Below are 21608 nucleotides of genomic sequence, written 5' to 3' on the forward strand. Positions count from 1 at the left end.
ATATGCTGGTATATGTAAAAGGTATTCACTTTTTAAAATGTTATCTGAAAGTATATTCTCCATCTTCATATTACCAGCTACTTTCTACTTGCAAAATAAAAATCTCATAGGAATTTGCTCATGTTCATAAAGATAGGAAAGTGGATAGATAGGAAATTATAAGTCTTACGAGTATCTAAAAAACGTCACAAAAATAGAACATCTCAGTTCAAAAAGTTCAGAAAAATGCATGGTGATGTACTGGATTTCCCATGTAGGGAAATATGTCATTGAGCCAATCCAATGCAGCTGGCTGAATATTATTCTTCAGAAAGAGGTAAACCTAAAGCATTCTAAATAACCCCAATGAATGTCTCAAAGTTTTTGTTAAATTTTTCTTGAAATGTTCAGGTTACATACACATGCATTTCCCTTTCCCCCCTGCCACTCCTGAGCTCTTTACAGGGATTTTAAATGTGCTAACCAAAGGTGTATTATCAAAGGAACTCATTGCACTTTCATTAGCTAGTGACCCATAAGATTACGAGGGACCAGTATTGCAGTTTCACCCATTACTTTTCATTTCTGACCTTGATTTTCCCCTTCCAGAATGCCATGCCTCATCACTTGTGCTATCATGGCTCTATTATTTGTCCAAGATGGCTGGTAGTCATTAAGAGATGCTCAAGCACAATGCGTATTTTATTCATGAAATGATTCCCTTGGACATCAACCTAAAGCTACCCTCATCCTCCATATTCCTAACAGGTCAAGTTTAGATCAGGGTTTGGGTTTCTTTGATATCTACAGATTAAACACATAACAAAAGTGTATTTTTTTTCTTAAAGGCTCATGAAATTTGAAGTGTTTTAATATAAAAAATAAAGTGGAGGATTAAAAATTTTTGCCTTAATGAAGATAATCCAGAAAATTTAGATATGTTGTCCTCCTTCCTTATCATCATGCCAACTGCTTACAAGCACACTTGTGAATTATAGATTTTGATGTCCACGATTCTGTCATTATGTACAATCTAGTATCTAAACTATTTATTTTGGAAAGATAAATAAAAACAAAGACAAATTTGTGGAATTGGTGACAGTTATCTCTTTCATTGAACATAAATTAGGCTGTATATGGAGCAAGATGAGACATGTGTCCAATCCACTTCAGGAGTGGAAACCAAATGCTATTTTTGACAAACATTCCCAGAAGACTATAACTATAGTTAAGCCATTTTCGCCCCATGAATTAATAACTAAAGCATTTACTTTTGCCCCCTAGAACTTGCTGCAAGTACTTTATGACCTTGAGTTGTTTATGTAACAAATCCATATATATGAAAATTTTCCTTGGTCTATGGAAGTTTCTAATTCTTGCTTTTCAAAATGTACTTTCACAGTACTTTGACTTTAATTTGAGGAAACATTTGCATTCAGAGGTTTTAAAAGTAGAATTTAAAACATTGATCTTTACCTGATTCTCCCGTTCTTTCTGAGACCCAGGCAGAAGACACACTTCCAGCCATATTCACAGCTAAGACTCTGAACTCATACTTGGTGTATGGCTCCAAGCCAGTGATGGTTGTCATTGTTTGAGGAGGTTTTAATGCATTTTCATTGGCCGATTCTACAAATGAATGAGGACTGAGCCAACCACTGCTCTGAAAAACTCGACTTTCCTCAGATGTGGTTTCTTTAGTAGATCTCAGTCTTCTCATGTATAGTTCATATCTTATAATTATTCCTAGAGAAATTAAATAGTGAACCTACGTAACTCATCAGACAAAGGGGTTACTTTAGGGGTAGGGTAGGGACAGGTCAGTTAAAGAGTGCTGGATATTCATTGTCTTTCTAATTAGATTACTGTCAATTTCTTTAGCATTCAAAATGTAGTGATTTAGTAGTTTAGTAATCTAGATGACAGGTACATAGAAGACAACAAACTGCTATATAGATGAATGTATAAAATACTATTAAAGGCATACTCATGAGGAAAACAAACCAAAATGGATAACACATAGACAAAAAATAACTACACTTTATCATAGGTAAATTCAATCTTTTTCAGAATTGATATTCACAATTTCTGTTAAGAATGGCCAGTTCTTTTGGGGAATTTGATCATTATAGCTCCAGTCTGTATCCTTTCAAATTTGGAGGTTTTAATTTAACTTGTTTAACATAAGCCCTGTTTGCATAAATGTTATAGTCAATCTCTACCCAGTTTTACCAAATAACTTTACAAATCTAAAGAAAGATTTTGCTATAATATGTACATGATATAAATGATTAAAAATCTGTGAATGTGTGTCTGGCCTATATAACCAAGGGTTCAAATGCATGAATGCAAAAATTAACTTAATGGAGTCAGTTAGCTTATATACATATTTTTTGTATCATTTTATATCTTTTTCTTGCTTAGAAGAGAAAAATGTACTGCTTGTGGGTGCCCTAACTTGTGACACAGTCAAATATAATGCATTTCATAAGTGAGTTTCAAATTATAAACATCATTTGTGTTATGGCAGATGTCATTAAGAGCAAAGATAATATTAGCCTTTTAAGGGGCAATTTAATTGAATGGAATTTGTTATTAGATTAGAAGAAATACACTTGTTCCACTAACCAGGACAAATACTATCTTATATCTTTAGAAACTGTTTCTCAATTATTATATTGTGCAGTTATAAAAAGGAATACAACTGCCAAATTCCTAATTGCACAATTACAATAGATTCTCATTCATGTCTTGACCAAAAAGGGGAATCTCAGCCTTGGATTCTTACCATTTAGTTCCGCTGGTGGAGACCATTCTACATGAAGTTCTGTAGAACTGATTTTCTGCATCTTAGGTGGACTTAGTCTTTGGGGAGGGGCCTGGGCTGTGGTCACTGTAATGGGCAAGCTGTGTAAACAGCCCCCGCTAGTACACGCCTGTACAGAAAAATCGTACTTGGCAAATGGAACCAGATTCCAGATGGTAGCTGAGGTTTCATGACCTTCGTAGGAAACACATGGCTGACCACCAGCCAAAGGGGCACAGGACAAAATATATTTCTCTATGGGACCAGATTGATTTGAGAGTGTTGTCCAGGTAAGTGTCACAGAGTCTGAGCCAATAGGAATGATATAACTTAAAGTCAAGTTTCCCTCTGGGACCCCTGGTTTTGTCTTGTAAGTGACAGCTACACTCCTTGTTGAACCATGCACATTGGTGGTCTCAATGTAATAGGAATATTTGGTATATGGTAACAGGTCTGTGTCTAAGAAGTATTGAATACCTGAAATGAAAAGAAAAAAAAAAAACAAAGTTACATTTCACAAGTTGGTGAAGAATCATTGCTAACTGCTTTCCTATCATATTATTTAATTACATAAACTATACCAATCTACTCTTTTGATTAAGGATACATTTCATATTTTTAAAATTGAAATAATGTAAATACCGGTTGATTGCTTTTATTATTGAGTATAAGAAAGTATCATTCATAATAAAGAATGTTTAGATGTTTGTTTTAGTTCTTCTTTTGCTTTTCATAGTGTCCTTTTGTTAGAAGGTCTAAGAGAAAGTCCTTGCGGTTCTCCAAAACAGAAAAGTAACTATGTTTCCTCTATGTAACTTGTTTGCTTGTTAAACACTAAACACACCAGACTAAGGGTCAGTAAACTACCACCAAGGGGTAAATCTGTCACCTGGCCAACATCTTGAATGGAAAATTTTCTTATTTTCTGACCTACAGAAATTATAAATGTTTATTGTTTTAAGCTGCTAAATTTTGGAGACATTTGTTATCAGCAATGAGGAATTTACACAACAGAAGTTTTAGATAAGCAGGACTTCTATGCATGAAGGATTGTGAGGGCAAAGAGAAGCAGCTACAAAGAGGTTTTTAAAAAATAAGATAGGGAGTGGAGGTGATTAGGCACATGGCTGGAAATCCTTGTTCTCTAAGGACAGGAAACACACTGTAGGACTGCGAAACACACAAATACCAGAGTGGCTGCTGCCTGCTCCGCCATGGGGCTGTTTGCATTGGAGATGCGAGGAGGGTTCCATTAAGCAGGGGTGCCCTATAGCAATATGAAGGTCCCAGCATATTTATGTGCTTCCCCTTCCCCTTCCCCTCCCCCCATCCATCCCTCCCTCCCTCCCTCCCTCCCTCCCTCCCTCCCTTCCTTCCTTCCTTCCTTCCTTCCTTCCTTCCTTCCTTCCTTCCGACAGGAGATAGAGCTTTATTGTGGAAAAGCTGAGTTTGCAGAAGACTGAAACAGCAACAATGTTTAGCCTAGTCCATCTATTTACAATATATATGGGTTGGGGTTTCCCATACACATCTGTATTGCTCTCCCCCAGCCTATCCCCATCGGCAACTTTCATTTCTTTCCTGGATCTGCCATTGGCCACAAAAGACACAAATCTTTGGAGTGATAACCCATCGTGTAAACCTAGGCATTCCCAGTCTTTTTTCTTTTTTTTTTTTTTTTGAAGACAGGGTCTGACTTTGTCACCCAGGCTGGAGTGCAGTGGCACAATCTCGGCTCACTGCAACTTCTGCCTCCCGGGTTCAAGCGATTCTCCTGCCTCAGTCTCCCAAATAGAATAGCTGGGACTACAGGTGCCCACCACCACGCCCGGCTAATTTTTGTATTTTTTGTAGAGATAGGGTTGCACCATTTTGCCTAGGTTGGTCTTGAACCCCTGGGCTCAAGCAATCCGCCCACCTCAGCTTCCCAAAGTGTTGGGATGACAGCCATGAGCCACCACACCCGGCCCTTCTTCCCAGTCTACAGCTCCTACAGAGCACTCTGGGGTCCGACTGCTCAGTGGAGGAGGCCTCCGCTGGTGTTGTGGGGGGCACCTTGGGCACTGACTCAGGTGAGGGCCACTGTCTTATCAGAGATGACCCTGATAGAGCCGAGGAAGGTGAGACAGTTCTCTCTCTGGTGGCTGTTTTCAGTTGTACCATGGGTACCAGAGGTCGCCTGGTTTTACTTTCTAAGTGGTACAGAAAACTCTAAAGAATATAGGAATAGAAGAGACAGGGGAAAGTCACCATCCTTAGTGCTAAGGCAGAGCACCCAAAGAAGGATCATATTTGGAAAAGTCCCCTAGGGCTGAGATTCAGACTTTCTAGAGAGCGTGCAGCTGTGGCTCATTGTTATTTCAATAAATATTTACTAGATTAGATTAAAGTTACCCTTATCCCACAATAAGGTTGTTGAAAACATTAACAAAATTTGAAAAATCACTGAAGGCTAGAACAACGATGGAAAATAATTTAGCATGCCAAAAGCCAAAACCTAAAAGAAAAAAATAAATTTCAGTGCTGAATATTCCAAAAGATTGTCTGGCATAAGCTTAAACTGGAAGTTGGAAGACTTATAACCTGATGACAATTAAAAGAAGTACAGTACTTGCTGAATGTTTGTAGCATCTGAAAAGTGGAATATAATCCTAATAGATCAGAATGTATTATACAAGAGCAGTCTACTTAATAAGAAATTAGAATCAGATAGAATTGGGATGGAAATATGCATTTGTGTAGGAATATCATATAAGGCAATTTATAGTGTGAAAGATATAAAAGCATTTGAAAGGGTATGAATAGGATATCCATTAATGATCCATAACAAAAAAATAATACTCAGGTTAAAAGAGTGCTTATCTCAAGGTAGTTGCTCTCCTTGGTTGGGGTACGGATCTTTAACACTGAATTTGAAAATTTGCTGTTACTACAGACTTCTGCATTTTCAGAGAAACATTTACAGTCCTTGGCTCAGCACTGATTTGTGATCTTGGCTGATACCCTCCTGGTTTGTAGCACTCCCCCATTGTACCACTTACCAAAGCTACATGGAACTGCCCATGATTGCTGAATATACCTTATTTTCTTTTAATACAAAATTTATTTCATGACCATCACGCTTCCTCAACTACAGTATCTGGCTAATTCAGCTTATATTCTTTCTTTACTGGGAAACTTTCAGTGGTTCTCCATCACATCATTGCCACCACAGGCATGGTTACATTTCCTACACCTCCCAAGCCACCGTGTGCTTCCTTAACACCCCAAGTTTACTCTGCTTCAACATTTATATATTCTATTGTTACTTTGGTTTACTTATATGTCTCCCCACTCAGTAAGGAGAACTATTCCTTTCATCTTTGTATTTCTAATGACTGATACAGTTTCTGGTCTGGAATAAGCACTGAACAAAATTTTATTAAACACATGAATGATTTTTCTATACATATTTGATCTATTGTTCCAGGAAAGAATATAGTAGTCCCCTCTTATCCACAGGAGATACATTCCAAGATCTCCAGTGGATTCCTAAAACAACAAATAGTATTAAACTATATATATATACACACACATACATATATGTATATATATACACATATACACATATATATACATACATATATATGTGTGTATATATACTGTTCTTTTTCCTATACATACATATCTATGATAAAGTTTAATTTATGTTAGGCAGAGTAAGAGATTAACAACAATAACTGAAAATAAAATAGAACAATTATAACAATATACCCCAATAATAGTTATGTGAATATGGTCTTTCTCTCTCTCTCAAAACATCTTATTGTACTGTAGACTCACCTATTTTTGGAACATTGTTGACCATGAGTAACAAACTGCAGAAAACAAAACCATGGATAAGGGGAAACTACCGCATTAAGAATATTAAGAGCCTTATAAAAACAGTTGCCTGTCATCTTCTCTTCTGTTTTCTCATCCTGTCTCTATATCTTATATTTCTTCATTTATTCCTCTCAGAGCTAACTGAATCATCTTACCACTTGTTACATTGATCCCTTGATGTAGTATGAGATTATAAATTATAATTTTAAAGATGGAAATGAATAAGGGTAGAAATGAAATCCCAGGGCTCATTAAAATATTTGGTTGTCTAAAATTCTAAGCTTAAACTACGATAATATCTGTAGGTGATAGAAGTCATTGTTACATGTAAAAATAATCATCCTCTAGTTCCTGTGGAAGGATTTCTCTAAAGTGACATTTAAGGGCTATCTCCCCATTCATGCCATCCCAAATGAGGAACAACTCATCTGACTGTGAATCTGGGGAGTCAGGGTGTAGGGAGCAAATTATGTGCAGATCAGCCCATTGATTTTTCTCTCTTCTAATTTGTCTTCCTGCAGGAAAAAGGATATAGTCTCTAATCTGACTTTCATCAGTAATGAAGATCGTTTTTATTTTTAAATTTGATCTGCCTACTATGTCTAGTGCTCCTTTGATTCCAAACTCAAATAGGAACAACACCAAAAAACAGTATGAGTTACTGTCCACTCCCTAAACCTGCAACACTAACAGAAGAGTGCTATTTCCTCCAATAACTGTTCACTTCCTTCCTATGACACGTAAGATACCTATGAGCAACCCAGAAGGGGGCTACAATAGAGATACTGTTAGGGCTGATTATGTATGATTCTCGAAGCGCTAGCTTGACCTCTACCTTAAATAAAACGTAAAGATATACCTTGTTTTTTAAAGTTAATTATTCACAATCTTTAAAATTATTCATTATTTGCATGCTATTATAATAACAAATAATTTGAAAGCTTTAAAGATGGTACACCAGTATATCATGATCCTAAGAAGGAAAATATGTCTTAGAGAATCCCATAGTACATTAGGCCAGCTAGAAAAAGTTTCCATTCTAAAAAAGAATTCTATAAAGGTCTCAAACAAACTATCAAACTTGCTTGGAAGACAACACTATTAATTTTCTTTGAAAAGTTCAATGATTCTCCACCTATAATTCCTAATGCCTTTATTTAACCCAAAGATTTGTGTTCATCCAGCTGAATATAAGTAGTGTTTCCTTTACATGTTACACATGCTAGCCACGCACTAGAAATAGAGTAATAAACATGAGGCTATTGTTAGAATGATACAAAGTTCTGACAGTGTTAACCAATTGTTCTTACTGTTCAAATGCCATCATGCAGATAATTTTCACATCATTAATTACAGTGATTGTCAAGAAATGCCAGAAGTGGCATTTTTTAATGAAAAATATGGTTTTAGGAAATGATACCTTGTTTAATAGGATTATATAAATGTCTGATTAGTGAATGAATACACATTTATTATGTAAGAAAATGTTATTTGGATTCCTTATTAGTGCAATCGTCAAAAACAGCCAATGTTGTACTAACATGTGATGTTCTATAAAATAGATCACAATATGTTACTATGGAAATCATGCCTCTGGCTTGAATAATATCATTGATAGTTTTAAGTTTAATTTTGCTATTGCATTAAGCTGTATGGAAAGTAGGGTGACCCTAATTCACAACTTCAGAAATAATCAGTGGTACTGTCATCTTCAAAATCATTTTCAATATTTTTATAACTCCTCTCTTTCTCTGTCACAAAAGTTTAAGTTTCAGGACACCTGGATCATGCTGATATTTGGAAGAAAATAAACATTCTAGTAGCAGGTTTTCAGGATACTTTGCCAACATGGCAGATGTAGACAGATGTTCATTTCCCTTTGCAATCTGCATCATGAAGTTCAGAGTTTCCATTAACTTTAAAGAAGACTTGGAATACTGAAGAGACATGTAGAGCCAAGAGAAAGGGGTGGACATAAGAAACTAAATTCCAGTTATATGAATTAGGTGCAAAATGAAACCCAGTATAATGCATACAAAATAAAACTCTATGCGATGCAGGAGTTTTAAAGTCAATTAAAATGTTAAAACAAGGCATCCTCCTAACCATTTTAAGGAAGGTTATGGAATTTCAGTGTTTCGACAGAGCTTTAAACAGTTCTCCAACTAATTAAGCATGGTTAAAGTAGAATTTGGAAAACTGTGTATTAAATGAAGAGAACAAAATAGAAACTTGAATTGGAATTGCTGTTCCGAGGTTTCTTAAACTAGTGTGTAGCTAAACATGGCTAGAAGCAAAAATCAGAGAAGATAGAGCTGGAATAATGTAAAAATTCCTATTTTTTTCATTCTGTCTTTAGGGAAACTGTATCTAAAACATCTGAGTAAATGTTTTTTAAAGTCAATGAATTCTAATAATTTGATTTCTATAAGCTCCTTTAAAATCTTCATAAAAGTTACAAAGGCAAAGATAGGCTTGATGGCTTGTTTATATCCTTTCTCTTTCAAAAGTTTATGTTGCTGTGTTCTATCTCTGCGGAAACAGCAATGTGTGTATTAAATTACACTATTTGCTTGAGTGTTAGTACTCCACTGCCAGATTTAATAGTTCTTTAACCTGAGAATTAAAAAACTTGAATTCATTATAATAGAAATATTTGATACATTTTCTATAATATTTACAATTAGAGAAAACTAGATCTATTTATTATGTCTTCCAGTATTTGTAAATTAAAATGGTATAATTCTCAGATTATTTTAATAACTTTATTTACTTTAAACCAGTGGTCCCCAACTTTTTTGGCCCCAGGGACTGGTTTCATGGAAAACAGTTTTTCCATGGACCCAGGATGGGAAGGTGAGGAGGGATGGTTTTGGCATGATTCAAGCGCATTATATTTATTATTAGATTATCATAAGGAGCGTGCAACCTAGATCCCTCGCATGCACAGTTCGCAATAGGATTCCTGTTCCTATGAGAATCTCATGCCGCCACAGAACTGACAGGAGGCAGGGCTCAGGCAGTAATGTCGCCGGCCTGCTGCTCACCTCCTGCTGTGTGGTCCTGTTCCTAACAGGTCACAGACCAGTACCTGTCCACAGCCTGGGGATTGGGGACCCCTGCCTTAAACAATATGTCATGAACATTTTCCATTTATTGATATGTGAACTAAGGTATCAGTTTATATGCTATCATAGCCTATAATTTATTTAACAATGTACCAGGATTCTGTTATGCCATATACTATAATTTCCTGAAACATTGTTGAACATCTGAATCATTTTCAATATTTTGATGTTACAAATAGAATAGGTATGGACATCTTGTGTGTCTACTTAATGACTGTTCACTTGAGATAAACTTCCTAAAATAAGTTTGCTAAGTCAAATGTTATGTTAAAAGGAAAGATTTTTTCATAGATTTTAACAAATTATTGTACATGAAAAGTTGTACTAATGAACTCACACAGACACCTCAGCAGTTTATAAAAGTTCCAGCTTCCCCACATTCCCATCAATTCTTGATGGGGTCATTTTTTTTTCATCTTTGAGAATGTGATAAGCATTAGTATTTATCAGATAATAAGCATCTCATTTTTATTGTATTTCTTTGATTACTAGTGAAATTTGTAATTTTATCTCTGTTTGAAACACTCTGTGCCAGACAGAGGAAACCACAACAGCATTTATCCTCAATGTCAAAGAACTTAACTAATGTGTCAATTCTCAGAATATTTATTTCTATTACCAAACCCTTAAACTCACTGTATGGGTATTGATCCTCTGTTGTGTAGATTTCAAAACCATCCCTGAGTAAACTGTAAGTAAGCCAGTGGGCATTTGGAGAATCAGGTGGACTCCAGGAGAGATTGATAGCAGAAGAACTTTGAACTTGTCCTCTGGGCGGAGGTTGCTGGAATGGAGCTAAATTACAATGAAGAGAGCATTTATTAGCAAAGCAATCAATAAACAGAAAAGCAAACTGAAGTAAGATATCCAGCAAAGAGGTCTTTCTGATTCAGGATTGCTTTATCAAGAAGACATGTGGTTTACCAAGACATTAATAAACAAAGGGTTCATGAGTTCTCTAAAACAAAGCTTTTTATCTATAAGCATAAAAAAACTTTTTAGGTCAAAGCAGCTGGCATAAATATAGTTGGGGGTAAAAAACCACCATAGTTTACATTAAGCATTTCTTTCTTTGCCTTTTTTTTTTTTTTTTTTGAGAAACCATCCAAGGATGCACAACATTTATTTTTTACATAGTTAATTTAAAAGTTGACATAAGTTCCATTGAAACTTGAAATTTAAGTAGCATAATCTTTGGGTTTTTGAGAGGAAGCTTTCCATTCCATTAAGCACAATGCTTTATCTTGCTTCAGAGAGCACAGTGTAAAAGAAAGAATAATATTTGGTGATATAAATAGCTATGGATGTTAAATAATCTAAATATTATCAAGAAACGATTTGAATATACTATATGAATGTACCATCACCTGTTAGAGGTGTTTTTAAGATGTAATACAATTGCTTATCAGGCACATAAGAAATAAGAACATTCATCTCACTACTTAAGTGATGTTTTCTATAATATAAATATATACCATGAAAACATTGTGTTCTGTCACTGTAAATTTTTCTTAGTCTCCCTGCTTTTGAGAGTGAATTTTCTTTTTTTTCACCAGAATACGCAAAGATAAAGGAGAAAAACAACAGCTAAATATTTTTAGGGACAATCAACCACCAGTTTACGTACTATTTTCTAGTTTAAACAAGATGCACAATCCCCCATCCATTTAAAGAAGCACAACCTAATCAAACATTCTCCTTAAATAAGATGTCAAGGGTACAGGTTGCTGTGTTACCTTACTTTTAAACCATTCATCTTTTTGTTAAGAAATATGTAAATGTAAGGTACAGAAAAGAATCCATCAAATAATTAATATTTTTATATGAAATATCTACAGTCACTAGAAGCCTCAGTAAAAGAAAGCACACTCAAAAAAAGTAACTTGGGGAGAGCTCAATAAAGGAACCACTTTCAAAAGGGTGGGCAAAAGAGATGGTCCAGTACTCTCAGGTACAGAACTGCAGAGCTCTTTTGCTATTTATGTCAGGGTTTCTCAAGCCAACCCTGAACCCTGGGTCTAATGATTCACTAGGAAGACTCAGGACTCATCATATAGTCCTACTCATGGCTAAAATTTATTACAGTGAAATGTTACAGAATTCATCAACAAAGGGAAAAGGCATATCAATGAAGTCCAGGGGAAACCAAGCACAAGCTTCCAAGAATTCTCTTCCAGTAGAGATAGAATGGGCCTAATTCCCCCAGCAATGCATTATGAAAATATGTGTGATGTGTTGCCAATCAGGGAAGCTCCTTAGAAACTCAGTGCACAGGGTTTTTATTGGGGGCTGTTCCTATGAGCAGCCTCTATCTGGCATTTACCCAAATTTAAGACCCCCACAAGGAAAGCAGGTGTTAAGCATAAACCGTACTTTGTACAAATGTTTAAGTGCAGTGGTCCTCTCTTATCAGTTCTGGGGATAGTGGGGATCCAGATGTCAGCCAAAGGCCAACTTTGTAAGCAGGTCTTTCTAAAAATAAGCAGTCAGGCTTGCTATGTTAACTCTTCTCTGCACACTATCTCTAGCTTAAATGGGGACAGAACTCAGGGACAGAAATGACTGTATGAAGAGCATCACCTGACAGGAGCTATGACCACTCATGGAGGGATGCAGTTAGCTTGAGGCTGCTTCTACATGGACACAGGGAGCGGGGAATTAAATATCCTGACTTCCTTTTCCACCTGCCCTCCAGATGTTTGGTGGGTCCCTCTTAGCAGCTGAAATCAACTAACTGATGGCCAGAGGGCAATGGAGGCTGCTGATGCAAACCACATAGAATCTTGGAGGACAGAGCAAAGTGGAAAAGTAGGGAACAGTAAAGTGAAGTTATTCTGCAAACTAAGCAAAGACTTCCACCCCAGAGCTATTGCTAATTCACCAGGACCCATGAGTGATGAACTCTTTTTAATAGATATAATATATGAACTCTGTCTAAAAGATATAATATAATCAAATTATTACATTTTAAGACAGGATTTCAAGAGCACTTTGATATTTATACACCATACACACACACACACGTTTTTGTCCATGGTTCCTGGCTCATAACTTCCATAGCCTTTGCTATTTCCTTGGTGACTAACACAATAAGCCTATCTTTTGTTGAAGTATTGGTCTTTTATCCAAGGGTCCTGAAGCAGCTTCAGAACAATTTAAGAGTGATACAGGTGAAGGACAGTCTTTTGTTACAATATTGGGGAGATTTAGGCTTCAGAAGTAGGCCTCAGAAAATAGGGTCTGTCTCTGTTCTGTTCTGCTTCTACCTGTTCCTTTTTCTCCCCAAGGCAGGCCAGGGAAACTAAAAATATACTCTAATGTTCCTCCACCTTTCTGTCTTAGAGCCGGCCATAAGGAAATTCTCTGACCTACCTTGTCTGACTGTGGGTCATGAGACCCTCATTTTAGAAGGAGTCCTGCCCCATGCCCTGGAGGAATGAATACTGCAGAGAGAGGCCAAGAAGACTCTGAATAGGCAGCCTTGCAGGGTTTCCCCACTCAGTCGATTAGTATGAAATCATACTCCTTTTTTTTTTTAAATCACATTTCTACATAGTTGTCCATGTGTTGAAGGCCAAAAGAATGAGGGTCGTGATCAACTAAGTATACCACTGGAGGCTATATGAGTAAACAGCAAACTGTTCTCATGAAAGCAGGATGTTGGCAAGCTGACAAACTGCGTCTGCACCCGGAAGGAATGCTGAGGGCAGTCATGACCCAGGCACAAGTGTTTCTTGTTATTAGGCAAATCTGAAGCCTGTTAGTAATAATATGACCCTGTGATCAATCAAGCAGCTGACCAATCATGCCCTCCTCCTCCCTGCTCTTTCTACCCAATAAATATGAAGGGCTGAAGCAGCTCAGGCAGCTGCCCTTGCTCACAAGAAGCAGGGACCCCTCTTCTTCTTCCCCATGTTACCCTTCCTGTAAAATAGTTATTTTTGTTTTAAGTTTTCATTTCTGCGTTCATCCTCCTTCATTCAGTCTTGTAATGACAGTCTCAAATAGTAACAGTAGTAACTGTTGTAGTGATGGTCTCAAGTAGTAATTGTGGTAGTCTGCCACATCCATGCTTCAGTCATGCCTATCCAATGAAGTTGCTATAAAGGGTCGAGGCGGGCGGATCACGAGGTCAGGAGATCAAGACCATCCTGGCCAACATGGTGAAACCCCGTCTCTACTAAAAATACAAAAATTAGCTGGGCATGGTGGCACACACCTGTAATCCCAGCTACTCGGCAGGCTCAGGCGGAAGAATCGTTTGAACCCGGGAGTCGGAAGTTGCAGTGAGCCAAGATCGCCACTGCATTCCAGCCTGGCGACAGAGCGAGACTCTGTCTAAAACAACAACAACAAAAAGGGTGTTTGGGGTGGTGGGGGGTGGTGGGGGTACAGGGAGAGCTCCATGTAGTTTAACACGTGGAAGTTCCTGGAGGGTGTGACACCTAGGGAGGACATGGAAGCTCAGCTCCCCTTTCCACGTATCTTGTCCTATGCATTGCTTCATCTGTATCTTTGCAATATCCTGTATCATAAATCAGTAAAAATAAGTGCTTCCTTATTTTGAGCTGAGCTGCCAAAGTAATTGAACCCAAGGAGGGAGTCATAGGAGCCCCAATTTATAGCCAGTGGGTTACAAGCACAGGCAAAATAACCTGGAGCTTGTGATTGGTGTTAGAAGTTGGGGGCAGCCTTGGGGACTGACCCCTCACCCGTGGAATCTGCCACTACTTCCAGGTATATAGCGCAAGAGTTGAACTGGATTGTAGGATATTAATGCTGCAGAATTGCTTGTTCAACTATGTTGATGGTGGTGTGAGAACAGAGGGGGAAAATGTTGTTTTATTCTGCACAGCACTGAATGTAAAATATATAAAATTCCATGTACTATGAATAGGCTTCCTAAAGACAAAGTCTGATCCTAAGGCAGATAATATTTACATCATATGTTTTAAAATATTCAAACTAGATACATGCTCATTGCCCTCCTTTTGTCTTTTTCTTCTTTGGAATTTGCATTGTTCTATTAACATTCCAACAGTCTATATGCCTATTTAGACATAGGAAAAGAGTAGCAACAATCTCATAATGACACATGAGAAAAGAATTATTTCCGAATAACACCTTACATTTTTGAATTCATGAATTTTCCATATTTGATATGGTCACTTTGATCGGTTGAACACTGAAAATGCATTTGACCCTTTCAGTGGATTTTAATTTAGGGTTTTAAATCCTGTTGTTCTTGGTGGAGCCACAAATATCATCAACTGCCTCATTTACAGCACTCTCAAAGAACCTTGCAATTCATGGTAATTTAACATTTTTTAGTGAATATTAGTGATTTCATCTAAAACTCTGCATGCTATCAGGAACACAACAGATTTCAGAGTTAGAGCAATCAAAACTGACCTTCAGATGATTTTCTAAGGCAGCAAAATGCTTTGGGGATGAATGAAAATGAAAGAGAGATAGATGTTTCACTCCCATGTCAAAGGGTGTAGAAAATGATTTGCATTACATGAAAATATCCTTGGCAACAAAAGTTCTTCACACACAGAGGCTCTTTCCAAACATTTAAGCTGATTACTTGCTATGACCATGTCAACCACAATCTTGTCTGACTCCACAGCATAAATAAATAGTACCTCTTTGGTATTTAAGTTGAAATTTTCATAAGCCAGAAGGTTTAGATGACTTACCAACACTTTTGAGAATAATATTATTAAATCTTGAGCATGAGAGAACTTGAACCTTTATGTGCTTGAAGTAGAATTCCTAAAAAATGTTCACATATTCACTCATCAAAATTGCCAAGAATGGTCTTTGCATATGCCAGACTCTCTTTTATGGGATGAGAGTATAATATTGTGACTAGATCCATCTCTTTGGGAACCACCAGCTTGAATCTCCAGCTTTGGAACTTTGGTAGTTGTATGATTATAGTCAAATATTGATTGGACTCTCTGAACCTTTTCTCATTTATATTAAGAGAATGATAATGTCTCCCCGTCAGGGTTATTTTGAAGATAAGGTGTGTGTGTGTTTGTGTGTGTGTGTGTGTGTGTGCATGCACATATGTATGTAGGGGTGTGTGTGTGTGTATATGTGTATAAAGTAATTGTTCAATAAATATCACCTTTATTTCCTCTACCCTCCAGTGTGCTGGAAGGCATCCTTGATTCTTACATCCCAAGAATTATAAATGGCTTATTTGGCAATAAGTAATATATTTATTACCACAGATAATATATACTAATGGGAAAATTACTTCTATCTTAGCATCCTAATAGAAAAGTGATCACACACAGATCCTGCATGAAACTCATGAGACACTGGAGAGCACATGGCTAAGCATAAAAGGAACAGTGCATAGAAATAACATTGCGCAATTATACTATAGGTTTCCTGGAAACACAGAAAACAGATAATGTACAAGTCTTCATCTCCTTGGTTAAATTTTTGATGCATTATAAGTGAAATTGCTTTATTAATTTCTTTTTCAAATTATTCATTGCTGGCTTATAGAAACACAACTAATTTTGTGTGTTGATCTTGTAACATAGAACATTGCTGAATTTGTTTACTAGCTCTAGTAGCTTTCTTGTGAATTTGTTTGGATTTTCCACATATAGAATCATATCATCTACAAGTAAAGAAAATCAACTTTCTAATTTGGGAGACTTTTACTTACTTTTTCTTGATTACCTGCTCTGGCTAATATGTGGGCATTTCTGTATTATGTCTGATCTTAGATCTCAGTCTTTCATTATTGAATATGATGTTAGCTATGGGGTCAACTGCATTTTTGCATAGATGCTTGGGTAATTCAATGGGGAAAGGATGGCAATTTCAACAAATGTTAATGGAACATTTGGATACCTATGTGTCAAAAAATAAAAATGAAATAAAGAACTTAGATGCTTAACTCATACCATGTACAAAACTAATTCAAATTATTTCATGGATCTAAATGTAAATGTTTAAGTATAAAACTGTAAGATAAAAATGGAGAATTTTTTTTTTTCACATTGAGTCAATCCAAAATTTCTTAGATAGGACACAAAAACATGACCCATAAAGGAAAAGCTTGGTAAATTGACTTCATGAAAAGTAAAAGCTTTTGCTTTTTAAAGTATACCAATAAAAAAAATGAAAAACAAATCCACAGAATGAGAGGACTATTTGCAAGTTTTATCCCAAATTAATAAGGAATTCTTTAACTCAGTAAGAGGACTAACAACTAAAACACGGGCAAAATATTTCAAAGATACTTTGCCAAAAATCACATGAATGACAATACACATGAAAAGTTGTTCAACATTAGTCAGCAGGAAAAATGCAAACTAAAATCACAACAAGATACTACTACACACTCACTGAATGGCTATAATGAAATAGAGTCAATGCCAAATGTTGCTGAGACCATAGAGTAACTGGATCTCTTATAAGTTGCTAATGTAAATGTAAAATAATACAGCCATGTTGGAAAATAATTTGGCAGTTTCCTAAAACATTAAAAATATATTTGGTATACAAACCAGCCTTTTTATTCTCAGGATATAAAGAGATATAAAGATGCATGTCCACACAGAGACTTGTAACTGTATGTTCATGGATGCATTATTCATAGTAGACCAATGCTGAAAACAATCTAAATGTCAACTGATCAATGGATAAACAAAATATAGTGTATCCATAAAATACTACTCAGCAATTAAAAGAATCTACTGAGACATGCAACAATATGACTGAACCTCAAAAACATTTTGTTAAGATGAAGCTAGATACAAAAGCCTATACATTGCAAAAAGTCTAAATGTTGTATAATTTCATTTATATAAAACTCATGGGAAAGGCAAAATTATCTCATCAAAGACCCTATAACTAGTTGTTTGGGGCTAGAGGTGGGAGTCATGATTGACTGGAAATGGGCACAAAGGAACTTTTTGAAATGACAGAAGTGTTCTACAATTGGATTATAGTAATGATTGCACAAGTCTAAATTTACTAAAATCCATCAAACCATATACTTAAAATTGTTAAATATATAATATGTAAATTATACTTTAATAAAGCTGTTAATAAAAGGAGAGCTAGAAGAGGCTCTCTGGCAAGGAGAGATAAAGAAAAAATGTGGATATAAAGATGAATAAATAACAATGAGAATAGTGTCAAGAAGACAAACACTATCAAACAATAAGTGGCTAATTGTATACGTGTGTGTGTGTATGTGTATAATTTTAGTTAGGTTCATAGATGGTTGAACTAACTAGAATATCATTCGCTAGGAAAGCATACAGAAAATAGGACTATTTAATTTATGTTAATTCTTGTTTTGCTTCCTATCAAGAAGAATGACTATCATTTTGAAAGCATGATACCAATATTTAAAGGAAAGAAGTGAATCACCCAAAAGGGAAATTTACTATAAGAAAAGGTCTAACTACTTTATTTTCATTCAATCCTCTTGCATTTTGGAAATTACATCCTAGGATTCCCACCCTGACAGCCCACCAAAAATAAAAATCACAGATGATATTACTAAATTATTGCTAGTGGCCCCTAGAAGATATAATGAGGGTTATAATCCTGCAGTTCCCAAACTGTGTAGGGGGTGGGGTACCATGAGAAATTTTAATTTTAAATGAAAATATTTCTTGACATCTGTTGGATACAGAGACAAATACTAGTCAGAGGTAGTTCACTGTGTCAGCAATAGATAGCACTACATTCCTTTCAATTTCATCATATCTTTGTGAAGCCAATTGTTCTGGCTGGCTTCTGCTAGGATCAAACACAAGTACCATGTGAAAATCAAGCTGGAACAGGAGAGAAGGCTGGGACCCTTCATCCTCATCCCACCATTTACATTTTTCTGCTCCCCTCCTATTATCAGTGTCCATCACTCTAGCTATGTTTTGACCTCCTCTGAAGGCAGGAAAGTTGTCTCATTTGTTTCTAATAAATTGCCTCTGCTGATGCTGAGCTTCCAACTTTACACAGTGTTTCAAAAATTTTGTTAAATAAAAACCTAAAACAGAAGCAGCAACAACCACAAGAGTTGAAGAACTGTGCTCAGTATGATATATCATAATTTTAAAGAGATAAAAAACCAAAAGGAATATGTCCAGGGAAGAATCATTAGGAATGTGAGAGTTTTTAAAAATTCTAACAAATCAGAAACACTTGGAAAGAATGTCCAGTTAATAAAACATAAAATTAAATGTCTACCACTACTAAGAGTTGTAGGCTAGCTTTCCAGTGACATGACTATCCAGTTTTGCCTGAGAGATAATTCCCAGACTATGTCTCAAATGCAAGAAGGAATAGGTAGCAAAAAGTAGAGCAGGTGCCAATATTGTCACAAAATTAGTGGCAGAACCAATCAGAAATCACTAAGATTAGGTATTGTAATTCCATTATAAATGACGATCCATAACTCATATCCAAAAGGAATATGCTAGAATTTTTGTTGCATACAAAGCAATCAATTGTATTGCTAATCAATAAATGACACATAGTAATTAAGTGGCCAATGAAGTCCAGATTTATGTTTAGACTGTATTTATACATGAAAGGAATTATGACAGTTCTTTCCCAAAAGAAGCATAAATACCTACAGTTTTACTTATACTGAAATCCAGAGGGACTGATGAAATGCGGGATGCTGAAGAGAAACTACACAGGTACAAAATATGAATACGTCTTCTTAATCACTAGCTATATCCTGCTTTCCATTACCTCAAAATCTAGTACAGTTGTTGTGGAGTCCAATATCCCATTACTTATCTTTCTCCCTCCCCCCTTAAATGTAGATAGCAGAGTTCCAGGCATGCTGGTTTGTGATGATCTGTCATGACTTGTGGCGTTTCCTATCATTGTGACTCATGACAGTCTCAGGACACCCCAAGGAGAATATGCATAGCACAATATGTTGTAGAGGGCTCCTACCACATGTTCCCAGCAGGCATTTCTTAGGGATTCTGGAAAGGGTAAGGATGTATGATCTTGAAGTAAATATAGGAAAACGGTCAATATGTTATGAAATTGTAGAACTGCAGGTGACCTTGTGAGGTCAATTCAAGGTACTGAAAAGCGATGTTGAAAAGTCAAAAGATACTTACATGTAATCTTAGGCTTTAAGGAATTAAAAATATAAATGTGAGAGATATTTAAATGAGTGAAACTTAAAGTAGAAAGAAACATGAATTATGGGATGAATAATATGCGTGACGAATGATACTAATTATTACAATATCGATAAACAACTAATGGTATAATACTGCCCACAAAATTTGGGGGATGGAAGAATATCAAACATATAATAAACAAGAATTCACCCTTTATTTGTCAAAAAAAAATAACTTACCTGGAAATGTCTTTGTGTCGGTGACCAACTGTTTTGGTTTAACCAATATAGTCCTGATTTTACCATTAAAAGTCTTGTGTCCTGGGAAGACCCTTGGTCTGGGAAAACCTAGGACTTTAATCACCTCATTGTTGATTTCACTCCAAAAAACTATTGTAAATTTCCCACCATGAACATAATTATATTACCATTTCCAATTGTCTAATCAAGGAAAAGCAGACATATTTCATTCAGTGTATTTTTTTCCATCTCTTACCTACGTTCTTCACATTGTACTAAGCCTTTCTGATGGGTTCTAAATGGAGAAAGAAAACAATGAGATGCAGTCCCCTGTATGATGCTGCTTCACACACCAGCACTGAACCAGAGTTCACTTACTTTTGCTGCAACCCAATAGATTGTTGACATCCAAGTGGCTTGCACTGGGAACACAAGCATCACACTTTGAGCCAGTGACAAATTGTTTACAGAAACACTGGCCTGTGACCAAGTGACAGGTTTCATTCAAGGCTCCTGAGAGATGACAATTACAAGGCTGACATCTGAAAACAAGGCAAATAAACCATCAAAGAGAATAGTGTTTTGATTAATAATTCATAGTATAAGTTACACCTACCAATAGCATTGTAGAGTAAGACGGCTTGTTTTAGCCAATATATTGAAAAGAATGCTTGAGCTAAACAAACAAAGAATCAACATAAAATAAAGGAAAATAGAAAAGATCTTTATAAAACTACTGTTCCTGGTAAAACCCGTATAAAGCTTTCTCTTTATAAACTAATTAATAGCAAAAAAAGATATTATATTGCTTTTTTACATCCCACAATATATCTTATGGATTAGTTTGAATCCAGTTGTTCAATTAAGAATGCTGTAAATTTTGCTTTTACAAAAGCAGTGTTCCTGTCAGCTAAACATTTAGATTAGGTACCCATAAAATTATCTTTTCAAGTGACTCTCCAATTGCGAAATAGAAAATCAGGGGTAAATCATTGCTCTCCCTAAAAATCTTAAAATTCTATAGTTAGTTCGATGAAGACTAAATTTCACTAAGAAAATTGCTTGAGAAAGACAGGTTCAAATATTTTTGATGCCTTAATATGGGTTATATTTCATTTTCTGTTTTATGAACTAAACTTAGTTATCCATAATGGTTGGAGAATACAGCATTATTCTGATTTATGAAAAGATGCTAATGACATAAATATAGTAAGATAACTTTAGTGCAACTTAAATTTCTTGGACCCAAAGTTGCTTGTAAAAATACCAGTAGTGGCATTTTGCCATGATAGAAACTAAAACTTGTTTCTTCACAGTGAATTATTCAAACATGTAGCCTATGCCAATGGCACTAATTAGGATAAGCAACGTTGGTGCCATGAGGTATTAGAGAAGCAAAACAGCACATGTAAGAAGACCACTCACCATTTAAAAGGTACTCTCCTTGTGGTACGTTTAA

At 36.0% G+C, this 21608-nt stretch overlaps 1 protein-coding gene, 1 long non-coding RNA gene and 1 pseudogene across 5 annotated transcripts in view; 1 reads left to right on the forward strand and 2 right to left on the reverse strand.

Annotated features, from left to right (window-relative positions):
- Positions 1-21608, reverse strand: part of USH2A (usherin) — an 800558-nt gene that overhangs the window by 573969 nt on the left and 204981 nt on the right. For both annotated transcript variants that reach the window (NM_206933.4, NM_007123.6), the window contains exons 15-18: positions 20528-20691; positions 10414-10572; positions 2768-3262; positions 1456-1725 (exon numbers count right to left, since the gene is read on the reverse strand). In NM_206933.4, coding sequence (NP_996816.3) covers positions 1456-1725; positions 2768-3262; positions 10414-10572; positions 20528-20691 — 1088 coding nt within the window. The remainder of the gene's footprint in view (positions 1-1455; positions 1726-2767; positions 3263-10413; positions 10573-20527; positions 20692-21608) is intronic.
- The window catches only part of USH2A-AS1 (USH2A antisense RNA 1), a 44314-nt gene that overhangs the window by 3138 nt on the left and 19568 nt on the right, over positions 1-21608 (forward strand). For 2 of the 3 annotated variants that reach the window (XR_922595.4, XR_922598.1), the window contains exon 3: positions 7171-7507. The exons of the other annotated variant lie outside the window; for it this stretch is intronic. This is a non-coding gene — a long non-coding RNA (USH2A antisense RNA 1). Of the gene's footprint in view, positions 1-7170; positions 7508-21608 lie in introns of those variants that run through there. 3 annotated transcript variants of the gene reach the window in all.
- Positions 4199-4967, reverse strand: MRPS18BP1 (mitochondrial ribosomal protein S18B pseudogene 1; annotated as a pseudogene).

The sequence above is a fragment of the Homo sapiens genome, chromosome 1 (genome assembly GCF_000001405.40).
Source record: "Homo sapiens chromosome 1, GRCh38.p14 Primary Assembly".
NCBI classification, from domain to species: Eukaryota; Metazoa; Chordata; class Mammalia; order Primates; family Hominidae; genus Homo; species Homo sapiens.